Source organism: Homo sapiens, chromosome 2, assembly GCF_000001405.40.
Source record: "Homo sapiens chromosome 2, GRCh38.p14 Primary Assembly".
NCBI classification, from domain to species: Eukaryota; Metazoa; Chordata; class Mammalia; order Primates; family Hominidae; genus Homo; species Homo sapiens.
Window position 1 is genome coordinate 84608250 of NC_000002.12, and position 22131 is coordinate 84630380.

General features: G+C 37.2%; 1 protein-coding gene across 14 annotated transcripts in view; it reads left to right on the forward strand.

Annotated features, from left to right (window-relative positions):
• The window catches only part of DNAH6 (dynein axonemal heavy chain 6), a 360018-nt gene that overhangs the window by 148678 nt on the left and 189209 nt on the right, over nt 1-22131 (forward strand). For 12 of the 14 annotated variants that reach the window (XM_011532650.4, XM_011532649.3, XM_006711956.3 and 9 more), the window contains 8 exons: nt 3425-3605; nt 8637-8733; nt 11436-11655; nt 12942-13106; nt 13189-13302; nt 16016-16141; nt 16216-16371; nt 16653-16814. In XM_011532650.4, coding sequence (XP_011530952.1) covers nt 3425-3605; nt 8637-8733; nt 11436-11655; nt 12942-13106; nt 13189-13302; nt 16016-16141; nt 16216-16371; nt 16653-16814 — 1221 coding nt within the window. The remainder of the gene's footprint in view (nt 1-3424; nt 3606-8636; nt 8734-11435; nt 11656-12941; nt 13107-13188; nt 13303-16015; nt 16142-16215; nt 16372-16652; nt 16815-22131) is intronic. The other 2 variants (XM_011532652.2, XM_017003521.2) reach the window with 1 other exon arrangement.

A 22131-nucleotide genomic window follows, 5' to 3' on the forward strand; every position in this document is an offset into this window, starting at 1 on the left:
ATAAGGGTTGGAGTCAACTTCTTCCAAACTCCAAATATTTTCAATGGCATCTAGAATAATGAGTCCTTTCTAGAGGGTTTTTAAATTCACTTTTCCCGGATCCATCAGAGGAATTACTATCTATGGCAGATATAGCCTTACAAAATGTATTTCTTAAATAATAAGACTTTCAAGTTGAAAGTACTCCTTAATCCATGGGCTGCAGAACGGATGTTGTGTTAGCAGGCATGAAAGCAACATTAAACTCCTTGTACATCTCCATAAGAGCTCTTGGGTTACCAGGTCCATTGTCAATGAGCAGTAATATTTTGAAAGAAGCCTTTTCTTCTAAGCAGTAGGTCTCAACAGTAGGCTTAAAATAATCAGTAAATCATGCTGTAAACAGATGTGCTGTCACACAGGCTTTGTTGTTTCATTTTTAGAGCACAGTCAGAGTAGATTTGGCATAATTCTTAAGGGCCTTGAGATTTTTTGAATGGTAAATGAGCATTGGTTCTAACTCAAAGTCACCAGCTGCATTTATCCCTAACATGAGTCAGCCTGTCCTTTGAATCTTTGAAGCCAGGCATTGGCTAATCTTCATTAGCTATAAAAGTCCTACATGGCATCTTCTTCTAATAGAAGGCTATTTTGTCTTCATTGAAAATCTGTTGTTGAGAGTAGCCACCTTCATCAATGATCTTAGCTAAATCATCTGGATAACTTGCTGCAGCTTCATCAGCACTTGCTACTTCACCTTGCCCTTTTATGTTACAGTGATAGCTTCTTTCAGTCTCACGAATCAACCTCTGCTACCTTCAAACTTTACTTCCACAGCTTCCTCACCTCTCTTAGCCTTTTTAAAATTGAAAAGAGTTAGGGTCTTGCCTCAGACTAGGCTTTGGCTTAAGGGAATGTTATGGTTGGTTTGATCTTCTATTCAAACCATTCAAACTTTCTCTATATCAGAAATAGGGTTTTGGCTTTTATCATTTGTGTCTACACTGAAGTTGCATTTTTAATTTCCTTCAAGAACTTTTCCTTTGCATTCACAGCTGTCTTAATTGTTTGGTGCAAGAGGCTAAGCTTTTGACCTATATTGGCTTTTGACATGCCTTCTTAACTAAGTTTAATCATTTCTAACTTTTAATTTAAATTGAGAGACATGTGACTCTTCCTTTCACTTGAACACTTAAAGGCCATTGTAGTGTTATTAATTGGCCTAATTTCAATATTGTTGTGTCTCAGGGAATAACAGGGGGCACGGAGGAGAAGAAATGAGATGGGGAACAGGGGAACAGCCAGTCAGTGGAGCAGAAAGAACGAATAGACATAATACTTATCAATTAAGTTTGCCATCTTATATAAGCATGGTTCATGGCACCCCAAACAATTATAATCACAACATCAAAGATCACTGATCACAGATCACCATAACAGATATAATAATAATAATAATAATGTTTAATAATAATATTTTTAATATTGCAAGAATTACCAAAGACAATTGGTAATTGTAATAATTTTGACCCAGAGACAAAGTGAGCACATGCTGTTGGAAAAATGGCATGAATTAACTTTCTTGATGCAGGGTTGCCACAAAACTTCAATTTGTGAAAAATGCAATATCTGCAAAATGGAATAAATGAAGCACAATAAAACAAAGCATGCCCATATTATTATTTTGCTGTGAAACAAATACTACAAACTTAAACAATATACCTTTATTATCTCACAGTTTCTGTGGCTCAGGAGTTCAGGCATGGTTTAACTGAGGCCTCTTGCTCAGGGTCTCACAAGGTTGCAATCAAGATGTCAGCCAGACTGGGTTCTCATCAGAAGTTTAGCTGGGGAATGATCCACTTCCAAGCTCACTCCAGTTGTTGGCAGAAATTATTTTCTTGGAATTCTTGGGCTAAGGGCTTCAATCTCTTGCTGGCACTCAGCTAGAGGCCATCCTCAGCTCCTAGATGTTGCCAACAGCTTTTTCTTTATGTGTGGGCTTCCCCAACATGACCATTGGCTGCATCAATCTAGCAAGGAAGAAAAAGGATCCTAGCAAGATGACTATTACAGTCTTATATAACATAAACATAATTATGTACATTCTGTTACCTTTGCCACATCCCATAGCACCTGGGAGCAAGTCACAGATGGCACCCACACTCAAGGGGAGAGGATTACACAGGGATGTGAATGCCACATCTTGGGGGCCACCTTATGAGTCTTGCTACAACGACTATATTTACTGGAAGAATGCTCATTGTTGCTTGAAGTCTCCTTGGAATCTTTCCTTGTGGTGCACATGTTCTTTTGATTTTATTCCACCTTTGATTGTCCCATAGCAAAACAAAGAACCCACTTACACTAATCTCATTTTGTTCCCATCCAATCTCTTTCTTAGACTTCAGATATTTAGCTTGACTTAATTATGTTTACATTTCTAGACATGCTAATATGATAAGTTATCTATGAAATAATACAGGCAGTAAGAGGGAAAAGATAACCTGTGCCAACTTTGTTTCAAAGAGAACTTTCTCAGAAATTCATCTTCTTCAACAAACCACATTGTCTGAGTCCTGTCCAGCCTTCTGGACTGATGATTGAGCCCTGTGAAGGGAGGGACTACAGATCAAAGTCAAGGGGGACGTTTTCATACAGGGTACCTGAAAGAAGCCTGAGCTGATTAGTGAGGAACCCCCAGAGAATGAATTGCTTGGAAAGTGTGAGACCTGAGACAAACCAGGAAGTGGTTGTAACATTTGGGCTTACTCCCAAACCTAGAGTGGGAAGTGAGGAACTCTTTCATGGATTTTGGGCACACACATGCAGTAATAGCAGGAGGCATGGAGGAAAGGTGAGGTCTATAGACATTTAATTTCTGACCGTGTATTTCTGATTTATTTTATTAACAGTGATTGTCTAAAAGCAGAGGGAATGCATGATTTTCTTCTTCCAGTCTTCTATATTTACTACATATGCTGACATGAGCAGGGTTTTTTAAAAAAATTTTCTTTTTTAAAGAAAGGTGAATGAAAAATGAACACATGGTTGAGATAAAAGAAACAAACTTTTTTTTCGTGGAAATCTTGTGTATGTTTGAAAATGGTCACTGAACTTTCCTCTTCCCTTCAGATTTCCTTGAGTAGGCATCGTGCTGCCCCCTGAATCTCTCCTGTGGGTATTTTAATCATGTTTCTCTGGATCCATTCTGGTAACCATATGGAAGACCCATTAGAACTCTGCTCAGTAGACAGTGGGATGAAATCAGACTAAGGTGAATCTTGGACCTTGTAAGGAATTTAATTTCAAAGGACCTGTGAGGAGTCATAACACCACCCTCAAGGAAAAAGATACAGTGATTCCCTGTGTCATGATTTTTACTGTAACCATATGTTTTTAATTGGGGAATTAAAATTTGACAGTGTCCATATTTTTCTCCTAGGAAGAGTGGCTGACCTGCCAGAGAAACTGGCTCTACCTAGAAAGTATTTTCAATGCTCCAGACATTCAGAGGCAATTGCCTGCAGAGGCCAAGATGTTCCTTCAGGTGGATAAGTCATGGAAAGAAATCATGAGAAAGGTGAATCGGCTGCCTAATGCTCTTCGAGCCGCTACTCAGCCAGGTATGAAACAAAATTCCAAACAAGCAAAAAGACTACAATCTTTTAGTAGTCTGGGACTTTAGTCCCAGACTAAAATGTTTCTCTGGGAATCTAATAACATATGGTCCATTCAACCCTTGATTCTAGTCAGCATGGATGACTAGGAATCCTTGCATTTGACACACTTGCTAAGCAATGTCAACGGAACACTGGACTTTTTTTTATTATTATTATCTCTCAGCTTAGTTTGTAGTTTCGGAAAAGGAGAATCTGCCTATTTTTGCTGTTTTTATGATTGGGGGATGTTGCTTCCGTGTATCAGCAATGTTTTCATCTCAGAATTTTGACAACGAGACAAATATTTGCCTTCGGTTGATGTATTCAGTTAAAGCTCCTCCACAGATTTATAGCCACAAAAATGTCCACACCTTATTTTTAATGAATTCATTAAAACTAGTAAAAATATTACCACTTATTACATTTCTAGTCTCTAGGTTGAAATGTGTTTGAATAAGTTCCATTTCTGTGGATGTGGAATCAAAGTCTTTCAGGGTGCATATATGTGGCTGTTGAACTTCATGCTTAAAGTAAAAGCCTTGGCAAGCTTGCCTGTTGTTCAGGAAACAGCAGCACATGGCCCATCCTGGTAAATATCCTCAGACAGCTTCCCTGAAGTTTGCTGGGCTGCACTCTTTGCCCAAAAACTCTGACATAAGACAGAAATGGAAAAGAAATGTTACATGGAATAATAGAATTGAAAATTCTTTGGGTCTTTTCGAGGCAGCCCACATTCCTTGGCTCATGGCCTTCTTCCAGCCTGTAACCTCAGGACACCGACCTCTGTTTCTGTCATCACATCTCCTTATCAGCCTCTGACCTTCCCGCCTCCTGCTTATAATGGCCCATGTATGATCGATCAGTCCACCAGACAATCCAGGACAGTCTCTCCATCCATGATCCTTAACTTAATCACACCTGCAAAGTTCCTTTCCATGTATACTAACATATCCACAGGTTTGGGGGATTAGGACATGAACATCTCTAGGGGGCCATTATTCTGTCTACTGCACTCACTTGTCATGTTGAAACATTGTGCTGGGAAAACTAGTATGTTAGATTACAGAGTGCTGTCCCAGTCCCTACTAGACTTGTTATAAAATATAACTTCTGAAATGAAAAAAAAATCTGATTCAAAAATACATCTGCTCCTAAGGATGTAAGATAAGAATAGAGACTTATATAGATCATTTCAGGGGATAATAAAGCTATGAAGAAAAATAAAGTAGGGTAAATTGGTGAGAGAGAGAGAGAGTGTGTGTGTGTGTGTGTGTCTGTGACAGAAGGCTTTTTTGATAAAGTGGCTTTTGAGCAGAAACCTGCAGGAATGAGGGAATGAGTCATGTATGTGATCAAAGGGAGCATTGTTAAAGGAGGAGGGAAGATCAAAGGCAAGGCTCCCAAGGTGAGTGCATGCTTCACATGCCCAATTGTTTGCAAGGAAGCCAATGCGAGCTGAAGTGGAATGCAGAAGAAGGGCTTAGGAGGTGAAGCAAGAGAGGCAAGAGTGCTTAGGTGGGGACTGGGCATCAGACTGGGTCCTTGATTACATAGAGCCTTGGAAACCATGATCAAGACTGCGGATTTGATTCTTGGGCAGGTGGGGACACCAGCTGCTATGATAAGCACCAAAACTACAAAGATAATCAAGACATGGATCTTATCCCTTAAGGAGCTGTAGTTTAGTGATAAAGAAATAGTATCCCATCACCACAATTTTGGCATTTAAAGATGGCAGAGGATACAGAAAAGATACCAGTAAGAAAGTGACAATGAGTAGGTATAGAGACTGGCTTGGTTTGGAGAGTCAAGGAGAAGGCAACTGCTTGGCTTTGGTTTTGTACTCCTAGCCCCTCAAAAGTGGGATACACCAGCTAAATATGTTTCATATCAAATATACTTGTTCATACTTGGTAAATACTTAATATTATTATTAAAGGTAATAGTTAAAATTCTTAGTCAATTCCCCCCATTTTAATGTAATAGAGCATTCCTTTATCAAATAATGCCAAAGCTTTTAAAATCTTAACAGTATATTTTACTTTTACTTTAAATTATCTCGTTATTTTTCAGTTAACTTAGTACTTTTTATTGAAAAGACCATACCACTGCCATTCCATTTTATTTATTTATTTATTTATTTATTTTTATTTCAATAGGTTTGGGGGAAACAGGTGGTGTATGGTTCTATGAATAAGTTCTTTAGTGGTGATTTCTGAGATTTTGGTGCACCCACCACCCGCACAGTGTACTGTACCCAATGCGTAGTCTTTTATCTTTTTATCCCTCAGCTCCCTCCCATCCTTTCCCCCACTTGCCTAAGTCCATTGTATCATTCTTACACTTTTGTGTCCTCATACCTTAGCTCCCACTTATGAGTGAGAACATATGATGCTTGGTTTTCCATTCCTGAGTTACTTCACTTGGAATAATGGTCTCCAAATCAATTCAGGTTGCTGCAAATGCCATTATTTCATTCCGTTTTATGGCTGAGGTAGTATACCATGGTATATCTACACACATTTTCTTTATCCACTCATTGATTGATGTGCATTGGGGCTGGTTCCATATTTTTGCAATTGCAAATTGTGCTGTTATAAACTACGTGTGCAAGAATCTTTTTTATATAATGACTTCTTTTCTTCTGGGTAGATACCCAGTAATGGGATTGCTGGATCAAATGGTAGATCAATTTTTTAGTTCTTTAAGGATTCTCCACACTGTTTTCCATAGTGGCTGTCTTAGTTTACATTCCCACCAGCAGTGGAAAAGTGTTCCCTTTCCACCACATCCACACCAACATCTATTATTTTTTTTATTATAGCCATTCTTGCAGGGGTAGGGTGGTATCGCATTGTGGTTTTGATTTGCATTTCCCTGATCATTAGTGATGTTGAGCATTTTTCATGTTTATAGCCCATTTGTATACCTTCTTTTGAGAATTGTCTATTCATGTCCTTAGCTCACTTTTTGAAGGGATTGTTTGTTTTTTTCTTGCTGATTTGAGTTCCTTGCAGATTCTGGCTATTAGTCCTTTGCCAGATGTACAGATTCTGAAGATTTTTTCCCACTCTGTGAGTTGTCTGTTTACTCTGCTTGCTGTTTCTTTTGCTGTGCAGAAGCTTTTAAGTTTAAGTCCCATCTATTTATCTTTCTTTTGTTGCATTTGCTTTTGAGTTTTGGTCGCATTTGCCTTTGGGTTTTGGTCATGAAGTTCTTGCGTAAGCCAATGTCAAGAGGTGTTTTTCCAATATTATCTTCCAGAATTGTTATGGTTTCAGGTCTTAGATTTAAGTCTTTGATCTATCTTGATTTGATTTTTAGGTGAGAGATGAGGATCCAGTTTCATTCTTCTACATGTGGCTTGCCAGTTATCCCAGCACCATTTGTTGAATAGGGTATCCTTTTCCCACTTTATGTTTTTGTTTGCTTTGTCAAAGATCAGTTGGCTATAAGTATTTTGCTTTATTTCCAGGTTCTCTATTCTGTTCCATTGGTCTATATGCCTATTTTTATACCAGTACCATGCTGTTTTGGTGACTATGGCCTTGTAGTATAGTTTAAAGTCAGGTAATGTGATGCCTCCAGATTTGTTCTTTTTGCTTAGTCATGCTTTGGCTATGTGGGCTCTTTTTTTGGTTCCATATGAAATTTAGAATTATATTTTTCTAACTCTGTGAAGAATTATGGTGTTATTTTTATGACAATTGCATTGAGTTTATAGATTGCTTATGGCAGTATGGTCATTTTCACAATATTGATTCTACCCATTCATGAACATAGGATGTGTTTCCATTTGTTTGTGTTGTATGATTTCTTTCAGCAGTGTTTTGTAGTTTTCTTTGTAGAGGTCTTTTACCTCCTTGGTTAAGTATATTTCTAAGTATTTTTTTTTTGCAGCTATTGTATTTTCTTGCAGCTATTGTAAAAGGGGTTGAGTTCTTGATTTGACTTTCAGCTTGGTCACTGTTAGTGTATAGCAGAGCTACTGATTTGAGTACATTAATTTTGTATCCTGAAACTTTGCTGAATTCATTGATCAGGTCTAGGAGCTTTTTGGATAAGTCTTTAGGGTTATTTAATTTCTATGTATTTGTATGGTTTTGAGGATTCCTTTTGGAGTTGATTTCCAATTTTATTCCACTGTGGTCTGAGAGAGTACTTGATATAATTTTGATTTTCTTAAATTTATTGGGACTTGTTTTGTGTCTTATCATGTGGTCTATTTTGGAGAATATTCTGTGCTGATGAATAGAATGTATATTCTTCATTTGTTGGATAGAATGTTCTGTAAATATCTGTTGAGTCCATTTGTTCTAGGGTATAGTTTAAGTTGTTTCTTTGTTGACTTTCGGCCTTGATGACCTGTCTAGTGCTGTCAGTGGAGTATTGAAGTCCCCCACTATTATTGTGTTGTTGTCTATCTCATTTCTAAGGTCTGGTAGTAATTGTTTTATAAATTTATAAATTTGGGAGCTCCAGTGTTAGGTGCATACATATTTAGAACTGTGATATTTTCTTGTTGGAAAAGTCCTTTTATCCTTATATAATATCCTTCTTTGTCTTTTTTAACTGTTGTTGCTATAAAATTTGTTTTGTCTTAAATAAGAATAGCTACTCCTGCCCACTTTTGGTGTCCATTTGCATGGAATATCTTTTTCCACCCCTTTACCTTAAGTTTATGTGATTCCTTATGTGTTAGGTGAGTCTCTTGAAGACAGCAGTTACTGTCTGGACATCCAGATTGGTAAAGAGGGAGTCAAACTGTCAGCTTTTGCTGATAATGTGATTGTAATTTTTCTATTGCCATTACAATTCCATGACTCATTTTAACTTTAGGTTTGGATAATTCAAAGCATATTTTTATAAGAGTTTTATTAAATAGTTTTCTAGGGAGAAGATTCATAAATTGATTACATTTTAAAGTGATATTTTTTCAGAAAAAAATTTGATTTTAACACAGTTTTACCAATACTATTTTTTTTTAATGAACAGGACTTCTGGAAACTTTTCAAAACAATAATGCATTACTTGACCAAATTCAGAAGTGCCTAGAGGCATACTTAGAATCAAAAAGAGTTATCTTTCCAAGGTAAGTTTATAAAGCAACCTAAGATATTTTTTAGTAGTTATGACTGTCAATCAAGTTGAGGTTATAATTATAACCTCAAAGCATGAAGGAACTAGAGAGAGAAACAAAAAAGATCTACGATAATGAAAATCCAACTAGTTATCGTAATTGAGGAGTATAAGTCTCAAGGATAAAATACAATATTCAATAAATAGTTAAGTGGGTAAGTAAGATGCTGAAACAATTTTTTTTATTTTAATTTTTGTCAGTATATTGTAGGTGTGTTATGGGGTACATAACATGTTTTGACATAGGCGTGTAATGCATAATAATCACATCATGTAAAATGGGGTATCCATCCCCTCAAGCATTTATCCTTTGTGTTACAAACAATCCAGTTATACTCTTTTAGTTATTTTTAAATGCACAATTAAATTATTACTATTAAATTATCATTATTATTGATTATTAAATTAAATTATTATTGACTATAGTCACCCTGTTGTACTATCAAATACTAAGTCTTATTCATTCTTCCTATTTTTTGTACCCATTAAATATCCCCACCTCCCCAGCCCCAACCCTTCCACTACCCTTCCCAGCCTCTGGTAACCATCCTTCTCCTCTCTATCTCCATGAGTTCAATTGTTTTGATTTTTAGATCCCACAAATTGAAATGATTCTTGATCACCCCATTGTTTTACTGTTTTATTGTTGAATGAATATGTGTGCCTGTGTGTGTGTGTATATGTGCACAAACATGTGTGTAAAAAGTTAAGAGAGACCGGTGTTGCCTGAGCAATTTTCTTTAGATTAATTGGTGGGGATGCATGTTAAGCTCTCCAAGATGCCTAGTCTTGAGGAGAGTGAACCCCACCCTTTCTCGTGGGCATAGCGAGCACCTTTAGTACATCTCTCTACCAAAAAATCTTCCTATCTCTAGCTGTCCAGCCTCTCCAGCTTTAACACTTTCATACCCTCAAGTGAGTGAGGACTCTAGAGTCTTCACCTATCTCCCCATGAGTCAGCCCCAGGTGACCTGACATCTCATTTTGAAATGTGACAACTCTAGTCCTAGAACTTCAGCCAGAACTGAAACTGAAATTTTAACATCTAGTTATATTACTTGGGAAAGATTTGGTCAAAAACACAGAAGCCACTCTAAGTGTTTAGAGCAAGTTTCATGCAGGGAATTAGAAGTTTTCACTGGTGCTAGAGGCAGAAGAAGGGAAGAACTGAGGACCACTTTGAGGAAATCTGGAAATACAGGCAGAGGTCTCAGGGAAGTGCCACCAAAGTCTCGGCTTCCTGCAACAAGAAAGGGAGGGATTGTCAGGAGGACACCTGAAAACCAAGGATAAAATCCCACCAGCTTCAGTCATCCATGCTCAAGTTGGGGAATAATGGCTTTGCTTCCTCCCACCTTCTCAGTCACATAGAAGAGCATCTCATAGGCAGCATTTAATCTGAAACCTTACTGGAAAGAGATTCTAGAAATGTCATTCCAGCTTTTCCCTGATGCAGGGATATTGCTAAGTTGACAATCAACAATCTAGAGCATTCACTAAATGCTGGTTTATACATTTAGTCCTCCAGAACATGAGAGAGTTGGGGATAGGAACAGCAGTAAAAAGGACCCGTGATTGGAAAAAAAAAAAAAAGTTTGAAAATCACTGTCTTAAATGTTAATAGTTAATTGCTGTAACCTATTCTAGTATGAACTAGGATAGTCAGTTGGGATAATAAATCAAATTCCTTTTGAGTGATTTGGAGAGATTAAACATAATACAAGAACTATATTACATGAAGTCTGGCATTTAGAATATTTTTGGTTATCTAGAGCAGGGACAAACAATTTTTTTTCATAAAAGGTCACATAGTAGATACTCAAGGCTTTGTAGGCTTTACATTCTCTGTAGTCAGGTCCGCTATTGGAACACAAAGGGAGCCACAGACAGTACGTCTGCATGGCTGTGTGACAATGAAACGTTATTTACAAAAACAGGTGGTGGGCCAGATTTGGCCTGGGGCTGTAACTTGCCAACCCCAATCTATAGCAAAATAATCTTCTTTAAGTTTACAATTTCCTTTACCTATCTTGCTGGTAATAATATGGAATATATATAAATGTTTTATTTCTACATAGGTATAGCCTCACATGGTTGGAAATGGTGTGCTGGCAAAATTACATTATGCCAATTTTCACAGTAGCACATGCTGCAGGGAATAGCAAATGCCTTTGGGTTAAGAGAATGGCCCAGTACACATTCACACAACCCAATAAGGTTCTCCTGCAACCACCCATCCATCTGTTAACTCTTCAGCAAATAATGTATTGAATACCAGGTATGTGTGACATACTAGGCTACATTTTAGGGAAAACAAATAATACATCTTCACTCTGGAGGCTTAAAGCCAGGTAAGACAGATATGTGAACACATCAGTTTCTAGCATTTTTACAATTTTATGAACAATATCTATCTTTTATGTACTAGACACTAATTCTAGGTGTGCATCATCACACCTAAATGCGTCATCACTAATTTTCACAGAAATCATGTTTAGAGATATGTGGCTTCCCCAGAAACCCATGACCAGTATAATTGGAGGTCCAGGAAATTGGTGGACAGGGAAGAGATGTGGCTAAGGAATTTATCTTTTATGTCTGTCTAAGACTTTACTTCCATTTCAAGTTATATTTTAAGGATGTTCTTTAATCCAGGTTTTACTTCTTGTCAAATGATGAACTTCTGGAGATTTTGGCCCAGACACGAAATCCACAGGCCGTGCAGCCACACTTAAGGAAATGCTTCGACTCCATTTCAAAGCTCGAATTTGCTCTCATGCCTCCTGCCGAAGGAAAGATTCCTGGTATTGATGGAGAACCAGAAAAGGTTTATACTAATGATATTTTAGCAATGCTGTCACCAGAGGGAGAAAGGGTGAGGTGCTTTTATTTATATTTCTTTATTGATGAACTTTGCTACTCCTCTAGGGTTATTCTCACTCTAAGCATACAGGTACTCTGTTGGCTCAGCAGTTTCAAGGATAACCAAGATAAAATTCTTGCCCTCAAAGAGCTCAAAGTCTAACAGAGAAGTAGTGGAACAAACAACTGAAAATCACCACAGAAAATGCAACAACAAAAACATGTGTTCTGTTGCCGGAAATAGAGTGTATAAAACTAGAACCATGTCTTATTTAACTCTCCACAAGAGGCACGCTAGTGGACTGGTTAAGAGTACTGGTTCTACTATCAGGCCACTTGGACTAAGTCCCATCCCTTAATCTCAGCCAAAAGATGGGGATTAGTAATTGTATCTGATTAATGGAATGATGAGCTCGTTCAGGGGATAGTGTATGTAAATTACTTAAAGCAGTACCCTGTGAGCACTATTTAAGTGTTAGTTGCTGGCAGCAGCATCTCCAGGGCACTGCACAGCCCCTGGCATATGGGGAACACCAAGAGAGTGAATATATTAGCATACTGTGAGGAACCAAGTGACTTCACAGAGGAGAGCCACACATATGCACACACACACAAAGTCAAGTATGATGGAAGGGAGAGTATCTTCTATGTGGGCATGGGAGACGTTTCACACACAGGAACTGTGTAGGGAAATGCTAAGGAATTGGGTCCAGTAAGAACACAGTGGTGTATCTATGGGAACATATAAACATTTTATTTGTTCTGAATTGATCCTCTTGCAAAAGAATTTGCTCATCACTGGTGCAGAAGAGAAGGGGGAAGACCAAGGATAGAATCTTGGGAAAACATGAAATTTAAAGAGAAGTTAGAAGAAGAGCAGATGAAGGAAGCCAAAACAGCCATGACAGTCAAGCCATTGGAAGTCCAAAAAAATAGATACAAGAACTGAAGTGTCATTTGGACTTTTCAGTTGGGAGGACATGGGAAAACTTGAGAATAGAAGTGATCAGGGACAAAAATCAGATAGCAGCAAGTAGGAAAGTGAAAATAAGTGGAGAAATCCATGCAGTGCATATAGACTCCTCTTTCAGGGAGTTGACTCCAAGTGGAAGCAGTAAAATAAAGCAATAGGTGGGGTGAAAGGAGATAGATGCATAGTGGAATGTCAATAGAAGTTTCAGTATTTGTGGTCAGGCTTCAGCGTTTATGTAGCTTAGGATTCTGTAATGGAAATACAGAAGGCATACAGCTTACAAGTCCCACACAAGCCACTTTATCAATGCTCTGATTACCTTTTAGGTTAGCTTGGGGAAAGGCCTCAAGGCCCGAGGCAATGTAGAGGAATGGCTTGGTAAAGTGGAAGAAGCCATGTTCACATCTCTGCGTCGCCTGTGCAAAGCTGCCATCGCTGACTATCAGGGGAAACTGAGGACAGACTGGGTGGTTGCTGGCCACCCTTCTCAAGTAACTCACACTCACATTTCATATCCCTGAATTCTTATTTGGTGATATGCATCACATATTTAAGAAACATGTTTTCTTGCAGGTTATCCTGACTGTTTCTCAAATTATGTGGTGCCGTGATTTGACTGAATGTCTGGAAACAGAACACAGTAATCATATACAGGCCCTGAAGAATTTTGAAAAAGTAAATTTTGAGGTGAGATCTGTAACAAAGTGACATTGTTGTCCTGCAAGATGGTCTTGGTGGGTTTTTTTTTAAAGCACAGTTAATGCAAATTCACTTTATTTCAGAAATTCTAATGCTCTGACATTTGTAATAGCTCTTACAAAGCTTTACAATTCTAAAATTATTTGTTTTACATTTTTTAGAGACACTATCTTACTTTTTGTGTAGTATTTATGTGAATACTTGTGAAAATAGGAGGAAAAACAATTCCAGAACAAAACACCAGGGTTATAATTGTTTGCAACTTTTAAGGACAAACTGTATTCACTAGTTCCTGGATACCTCTCAGGGAAGTTTATTCAGTCCAGGAAAACCTCCAGATTCATGCCATTACTATTTCTAGGCTCTAATTCTATTTCTGCTGTTTTGTAAAACTGTCAGGCAATTAACAATAAAACAATAAATAATTCAATGAATTTAAATACCATCAGGAACTTTTAGCTATAGCTGGGAAATGCTATTTTGCTAAATAGCATTTAAATAGCACTAAAACTTTATACTTGTTGAACAGCAACTCCACATTTCCTCCTCTCCCTAGCTCCCTGTAATCACCACTCTTTTTCTATGAATTTAACTATTTTAGATACGTCATATAAATAGATCATGCAGGATTATCCTTCTATGACTGACTCATTTCATTTAGCTTAATATCCTCCAGGTTTATTCATGCTACCACATGTTATGGGATTTCCTTTTTTTAAGTCTGAATAATAAATATTTCATTGTATGTGTATACCACATTTTCTTTTATTTTTTTCTTTTTTAAGAGACAGGATCTCACTCTGTTGCCCAGGCTGGAGTGCAGGGATGCGATCATAGCACACAGCTAATTATTTTTATTATTATTATTTTTTGTAGAGACAGGGTCTCACTGTATTGCTCAGGCTGGTCTCAAAAGCTTCCCTCAAGCAATCCTCCTGCCTTGGCCTCCCAAAGTGCTGGATTACAGGCGTGATAATCATGCCCAACTCACATTCTCTTTATCCGTTCATCCATTGATGGACACTTGTGTTATTTCCACATTTTGGCTATTGTGAATAATGCTGCAATGAACATAGGAGTGCAGATAGTCTCCTCCGGATCCTGACTTCACTTCTTTTGGATGTGTACCAGAGTGGGATTACTGGGTCATATGGTAGTTCCATTTTTAATTTTTTGAGGAGCCGGCATATTGTTTTCCATAATGCCTGTACCATGTTTATATTCCCACTGGCAGAATACCAGGGTTCTCTTTTCTCCACGCCCTTGCCAACATGGGTTATCTTTTGTTTTTTTGATAACAGTCACCCTAACAGTTATGAGGTGACATCTCATTATGTTTTTGATTTGCATTTCCCTTATGATTAGTGATGTTGATCATTTTTTCATATATCCGGTTAGCCCTTTATATGTCTTTTTCTGATAAATGTCTATTCTCTTCCCTTACTCAAGTTTTAATTGGGTTATTTGGTTTTTGCTCATAAGTTGTAGGAGCAATTAGACCCTTGTCTTACACCATACACAAAAATCAACTCAAAATGGATTAAGGATTTAAATGTAAGACCTGAAACTGTAAAATCCCTAGAAGAAGGCATAGGGGAAAAGCTTTGACAATGGCGTTGGCATTGATTTCTTGGATATAACACCAAAAGCACAAGCAACAAAAGGAAAAATAGATCAATGGGATTGCATCAAACTTAAAAGCTTTTGCACAGCAAGGAAACAATCAACAGAGTGAAAAGGCAATCTGGGGAATAAAGGAAAATATTTACAAACGGTATATCTTGTAAGGACCTAGGCCGACTCTTTTGACTCCAAATTCAATTCTACTTCCAAGCAATACTACATTTTTAAAGAGTCACCCTTAAAACAGAAAAATAAAACAACCTTATTGAATAAAACAACTTTATTGAAATACAACAACTTTATATATATTTATATGTAAATTTTCAATATTTATTTATCAAATAAAACAACTTTATTGAAGTAAGAGAAAACACTCTCATGAAATTCCTCAAAGAAACTTCATCTCCATAGCTTCAGAAAAGAGGAATGACTCCCTAAAAAAAGTTCCTTTGCCTCTGTGTAGAGGTGGTCCCTCATCAGGGTTGGCCCAAGTGACATTTCAGCACAATGGTGCAAGGTCCTCAGAGGCGCTGCTCTTCCTTGAAAAAGATTTAATTATTAAGGTAAAACTCAAGTAAAAATTTAGCTAACTCTTTCTGAAAATGTTTTCATTTAACCAGTCATTGGCTAGCTTAAAATGCTCAGATTTTCTGAATATTAATGGGAAAACCACCCCTAAAACTGAAGAGTATCACCTTTAACCACATTTAATTTTTAGGGAGGACACTCTCCTCTAGAGAATCATCACATAGTGGTTAAGAACGTGGGCTTTCCTCGAGGCAAATGTCTACTCAGGTCTCATTTTTGCTGCTTCATAACTCTGTGACTGCCATCAAGTTACTTATGCTCTCTGACCTTCAGTTTCCTCAAATGTACAATAGGGGTAAAGACAGTATATATTTCACAGAAGTCTTATGAGAATTAAATAAAAGTATTGTCCTGTTTGGTCACAAAATTATAGATTCTTAAAATTAGCTGGTTTTTAGCAATGTCTCTCCAAATTGAATGGTGAAAGAGATAATGTATATATGTAAGCTGATATTGGAAAATTCACCATGACAATTTTTTTTATTTGTAGAGATTAAATGCCCTAGCTGCAATAGTTCAAGGCAGTCTTCCTAAATTACACAGAAACATCCTAACTGCATTGATTACTATTGATGTGCATGCAAGAGATATAGTCACTGAACTTGTTCAATCCAAGGTAACTGTTTCATTTAAGTAAAATTATATACTTCTTTCTGAAATTAGTGTATCTAATATGTATATCACATATAGGTGGAGACAGTTGAATCTTTTGACTGGCAGAGACAACTGCGCTATTACTGGGATATAGACCTGGATAATTGTGTGGCTAGAATGGCGCTCTCTCAGTACACTTATGGCTATGAATATTTGGGTGCATGCCCAAGATTGGTTATTACTCCACTCACAGTAAGTTATTGATCACTTGGGTTAATATTGACACAAGAGTGCTTTTCAATCAAAAGTCTTGAAAAGTTTCATATGACATTAACTCTTGAAAGAATTTATTATGAATACATCTTTGTAAAGCAAATATTTGCATTATTTAATTATGTGCATGGATCTTTTGGTGTATTTCAATTGCTATATTTTTCATAGAAAATAATAATCCTTCCCCCATAGAGAGGAAATGCCTTAATTTGTGGCCAGAGTTGGTTCCCTTCATATTGATAATGCATTGCTTTCTTCAGGATCGCTGCTATCTTTGCCTCATGGGAGCTTTGCAGCTTGACCTTGGGGGTGCACCAGCTGGTCCTGCTGGCACTGGGAAAACAGAGACTACCAAAGATCTGGCAAAAGCTCTTGCCATCCAGTGTGTGGTCTTTAACTGTTCAGATGGTTTGGACTACAAGGTACAGTTCTTGCATCTGAATATTAACATTAAGTGTTTTATGTGTCTTTCTCTATTTGCAACATGACATAACAAAATAAGGCAAGAATGGAGTGATGACAAGCAAGAGAAAAGAAATGGGGTAAATAATGGTTAAAGTGGAATAAATAGAGCAAGGGAGAAGAGTCAACACGTGGTGGTCTGGGTAGTCTGGATAAGAATCAAGGCCAGGGGATGATTTGTCAAATGGTGAAAAAAATAAAAATCTGTACATGTCAGTAAGAAGAAAGAAACGAGATGAGGTACAAGATAGAATAGCAGGGAAACCGAAGAACAAGGACTAAGCTTAGAGTAGGAAATTGGCAATTTAGAGAATGGTGTATTGAACATGAAATATGTGGGAGGTGAGAATTCATGGTAAGGTTTTTCAATACAGTGGTTCTCAAACTTTTTGGTCATGGGACCCCTTTACACTCTTAAAAATTATTGAGACTTCCAAAGAGCTTTTGTTCATATGGGTTACGTATGTTGATATTTACCATGTTAGAAAAAATTAAGTAAAATATGTTTTATATATTTATTTGTTAAAAAAATAACAGTAAGCCCATTATATGTTAACTTAAACATGTTTTTGTAAAACAAAACTTCCAAACAAAAAACATTGTCCCACTATTTTATATTTTTGAAAATCTCTAATATTTTCAAGATATTGCTATTATGCTAATATTTGGCATAATAGAAGACAGCCAGATTCTCTGATTTGCTTCTACATTCAGTCTGTTGGGATATGTTTTTTTGGTTGAACATTTGAAGAAAATCTAACCTCACACAGATATGGACTCTGAAAAGAGGAATTTTTTTAAATAACTTTTTCAGTTAATTGTTTATACTCTTCTTTGAACTACACCAAAACTTGACAAATGTTAGTTTCTTAAAGGTTATTTGCTATGTTAAAACTTAAACCATATACACATCTTTTCGTACTCTATACTCTCATGAGAGAGTGAGAATGAAAAAGGCATATAACACCTTAGTATTATTATGAAAACACTTTGGCCTCACAGATCCCCTAAAAAAAAAACTCATGGATTTGCAGGGATCCTTGTTTGGCTTTATTTTTTCTGGTGGTTGCTATTTAAACTGTAAAAACATACATTTGTTTCTATATTTTTATGTACCCACTTTGGACACTATCTGCCAACATATTAAATAGATGAGGATTTTATTAGACACAACTTTGTGTGTCTAATGAAGTTGGACTTTCTATTTCAACCTCACTTTTACCATGTCAAGTTTTATAAAATTTGTATTTTATTCTATAACTAAATTATGTCTTCACTGCTTTGTCTGGGGGCTGAACATAAAAATGTAAATCCCTTATACAGTGCTTATAATATCAAAGATTGTTCATAGTGGAATTTAATAGAATAATTGGCCCCACAGAGAAAGATCAATACATATATCACAAACCCCTGCCATTCAAAGTAAACATCCTAAGCTTCAGGGTTAGTGGACTGTGTTTTCTTTCCACTTTCTTTACTTCTTCTAGAACCATTATTTTTCTCTTTTTTTATTTTTTATTTTGAGACGGAGTCTCGCTCTATTGCCCAGGATGCAGTGGCTCAATCTCGGCTCACTGCAACCTCTGCCTCCCGGGTTCAAGCAGTTCTCTGCCTCAGCCTCCTGAATAGCTGGGATTACAGGTGCCCACCACCACACCCGGCTAATTTTTGTATTTTTAGCGGAGATGGGGGTTTCACCATCTTGGCCAGGCTGGTCTGGTCTTGAACTCCTGACCTCGTGATCCACCCGCTTTGGCCTCCCAAAGTGCTGGGATTACAGGCGTGAGCCACCGCGCCCGGCCAGAACCATTATTTTTCTAACTACTGTGTGCTGTGAATCACCCGGAGATATTTATTAAACTACATATTATGATCTGCAGGTCTGGGGTGGGGCCTGAAATTATGCATTTCTGACATCCGCCAAGGTGGTGCAAATCGATACTGGTCCACTTTGAGACCGTGGTTCTGAGAGCGTGAACCCTGAACCAACAGCATTAGCATCACCTGACAACTTGTTGGAAATGCAAATTATAAAGCCCCACCTCAGACCTACTTAATCAGAACTTTGGAGCTAGAGCACAGCAACAAGAGGCTTTTTTGAAACAAACTTCCAGGTGATTCTGATGCACACTCAGATTTCAGGACCACTGTTCTAGAGTAGATTCAGCTGCCACTGTTTTTTGTATTTCAGTTTTGCGTCTTTCTTATGTTTCATTTTAATTTTGTTGGAATACTTCCTTGAGCAATTTTTTTCCCATTCAAGTTTATAAATATTCTGTCTTTACTGAGTCATCATACTTGATTGATAATTTGTAGAGGGTGGAATTATAGGTTTAAAATGATTTTCTCACCTGACTTTGAAGGCCTCACTTCATTGTATTCTAGTGTGCATTTTGCTAATGATAAAACTGATCATGGCTTAATACATTTTGGAGGTTTAATAATATTTTGCTTCCTCTCTGTCTGTGGCAGCTTATAGGATTTTCTCTTGATCCTCGGTATTATGAAAATCTACCAGGATGTGTCTAGATGAAATAATTTTCTTTATTCATTTGGTTTGTCATTTTGGGGAACTCTTTAATGAGAAAAATATGTCTTTTGTCAGCCTAGTGAGACCTCATTTTATTGCTTCTTTGCTTATCATTATGTCTCTGTTCTCTGCTCTGGGCCTCCTACTTCTGTTCTCCACTTCTCTTACCCTCATATTTTCTCTTGCTTGTTGCTAATTTTCTTGTATTTGTTTAGATTGCTAAACACATAAACACACTTATTTTATATTTTAAGCAACAATAAAAATAAATAAACTTATTGAAAGGTTACTGAGATAGTGGGATATCTCATGGAATCCAGAGAAGAGGTGAGCATGACTCAGGCTGAGTAGGAACTAGGGCAGCCAACTCCTTGGCATTGAGAACTTTAGAGCCTTCTCTCTAGAACCTCGCCAAGAAAACAGCAAGGTCACATTTCAACTTTTGAAAGTAGGATTCTAATTGGCAAAGTGGGTTCAAGTGATCACCCCTAGATTCGTGAGCAATAGCCAGAAGAAGGGGGTATAGTCTGATTCATACAGGCATGGATGGCTGTTGAGAGCTAGATGTGGTAAGCAGTTTCCAGAGAAAGAGGAATGGTATCCTCTAACGGTTTCTGCAACATAAGATTTCTAAGCAAAACAAGATTGTCTCCAAGGGCTGTTATTTTCTGCCTTAAATGTCCCTTCATGTGTGGATGTTCCCCAGGGCTCTGACCAGTCCCCTTTTCCTGTTTTCTCTACCTGCTTTTTCCGGTTCCTGACAACTTCATAAGAGAGAGGAGAGATTTGGGCAGGAGGAGGTTACACTACAGATCCTTGGTCAGATGCACTACCTTTCCCAAGACCTAGTTCCTGCTTCTCCAGGAACTCTTTTGCCCTAAAGTTTTCCTCAGGATTTGGTCTACTTTGAAGCTCTTCCTTTCTACAAAAAGCAAATGAAATATTCAAGCACTGGGTTGAGACTTTGTGTTTAGACTCAGCAGAAGGCATATTATCTGATTTACCTTCCCAGCATTCCTCTGTGATAGGTGTTGTCATCACTGCACAGATGGGAGTGAGATTTGGAGCAGTGAAGTAACTCGCCAGCAGTCACCACTAGAAAATGTCAGAGAAAGAATTTGAACACGTCCTTTGATTCAAGTCAAATGTTCTCTCCCATTTTAAAAAAAAATACATATTATATGCAAATTTAGAAACATAAAAAGATATGAAGAATAAAATAATGAATATCTACTTAGCCACCTCCCAGCTAAGAGATAAAATGTTACCAGCGCACTTGAAATCCTCTGTCTCTCTTCACCAGGGGTAACTTCTATTCTGAATTTGGGGGTTATTATTCACATGTGTGCATATGTGTGTGTGTGGTCCTAAATTTAAAACGTAGTATCATTCTGTGTGCTACATTCTACATTTTGGTTTTTCCACTGAGCACTTTGTCTATGAGATTCATCCAGGCTAATACTATAGCTCTATTTTTTTAATTCGTTTTCACTGCTCTGTTTTTATGATTTTTTTCATCCATTCTCTTTCTGATAGGTATTTGGGTTGTTTCTAATATAGTATTTGCTACTGTAAGCAATGCTGCAATAAGCATTATTACACAGATCTCCAGGTGAATGGGTGCCTGGTTTATTTGGCTTGGAATATAGGAGTTGGTCTCAAGGTACATATACGTATCATATTGACTCAATAAGGACAAATGCTTCTTCCGTGATTGTGGTAATTTATACTCCCCCTGCAAATGTATAAGAGCTGCCTATGCTCCACATCCTTGCCCATGCTGTCAGGTTCCATAACTGTTGTCAGTCTGAGGAGTATGAAATGGTATCCCATTGTATTCTCCTGGTTACTAATGAGGTTGAATGTCTTTTCAAATGTTTATACTGTAGGATTTCTCATCTGTGAAATACCTATTTACATCTTTTCTCCATGTTCTCTTGGCTTGCTTATGCTTTTTTAAATTGATTAATAGTGTTTTTAATATGTTATTGATACTGATTTCTTCTCTCAGTTAGGTATTATCTCTTAGTTCTGTCCTCTAAAAAGGGACATTGACAGCCTAAAAATAGTGATCACCTCTAGTACCCAGACTGTGGTCTTAAGTACCTTTTCCTACTGAAAGTAACCAGAGCTGGTTCTAGGTCTGGGGCAGGAAATGCATAAAATGAGCCTGCAACATCCTGTCCTATCTGAAATAGCCACAACAAAATACCAAAAATTGATGTGACCATATCAATAATCAGAATGTTACTAAAGAGGATCTCATTGACCAAAGATGGGACAATGCAAGAATGATAATAATAACTGGAATGGATCAAAACACATAAAACATTTTTAAATTCATGAATATACAATGATTAACCAAAAAATGTAAAACAAAAAACTCATTGATTACCTTAGAGGTTTCCAGGGAAACAACTTATTTGAAAAATTGATAAAGAAAAAGAATTAAGTATTTATCCTGCCTTTTCTGTGGACTGTTTTTTGGGGTAATAAAAAAGTTGATGAGGAAAAATTTTTATAGAATAATCACAACTAATAAATGCAGAAGGGATGATAACATTAGAAATTACTATTTTGCAACCTTCAAAAAACAATATATCTAGCAATGGCCATCATTGCTAAAACCACTAAAGACTAATTGGAAAATTTATAATGGACGAATCAGACTAGTAATCCATCGATCACAACTTTGACAATCAAAAAATACATATCTCCTGTTATGATATACAAGCTATGAATTATTC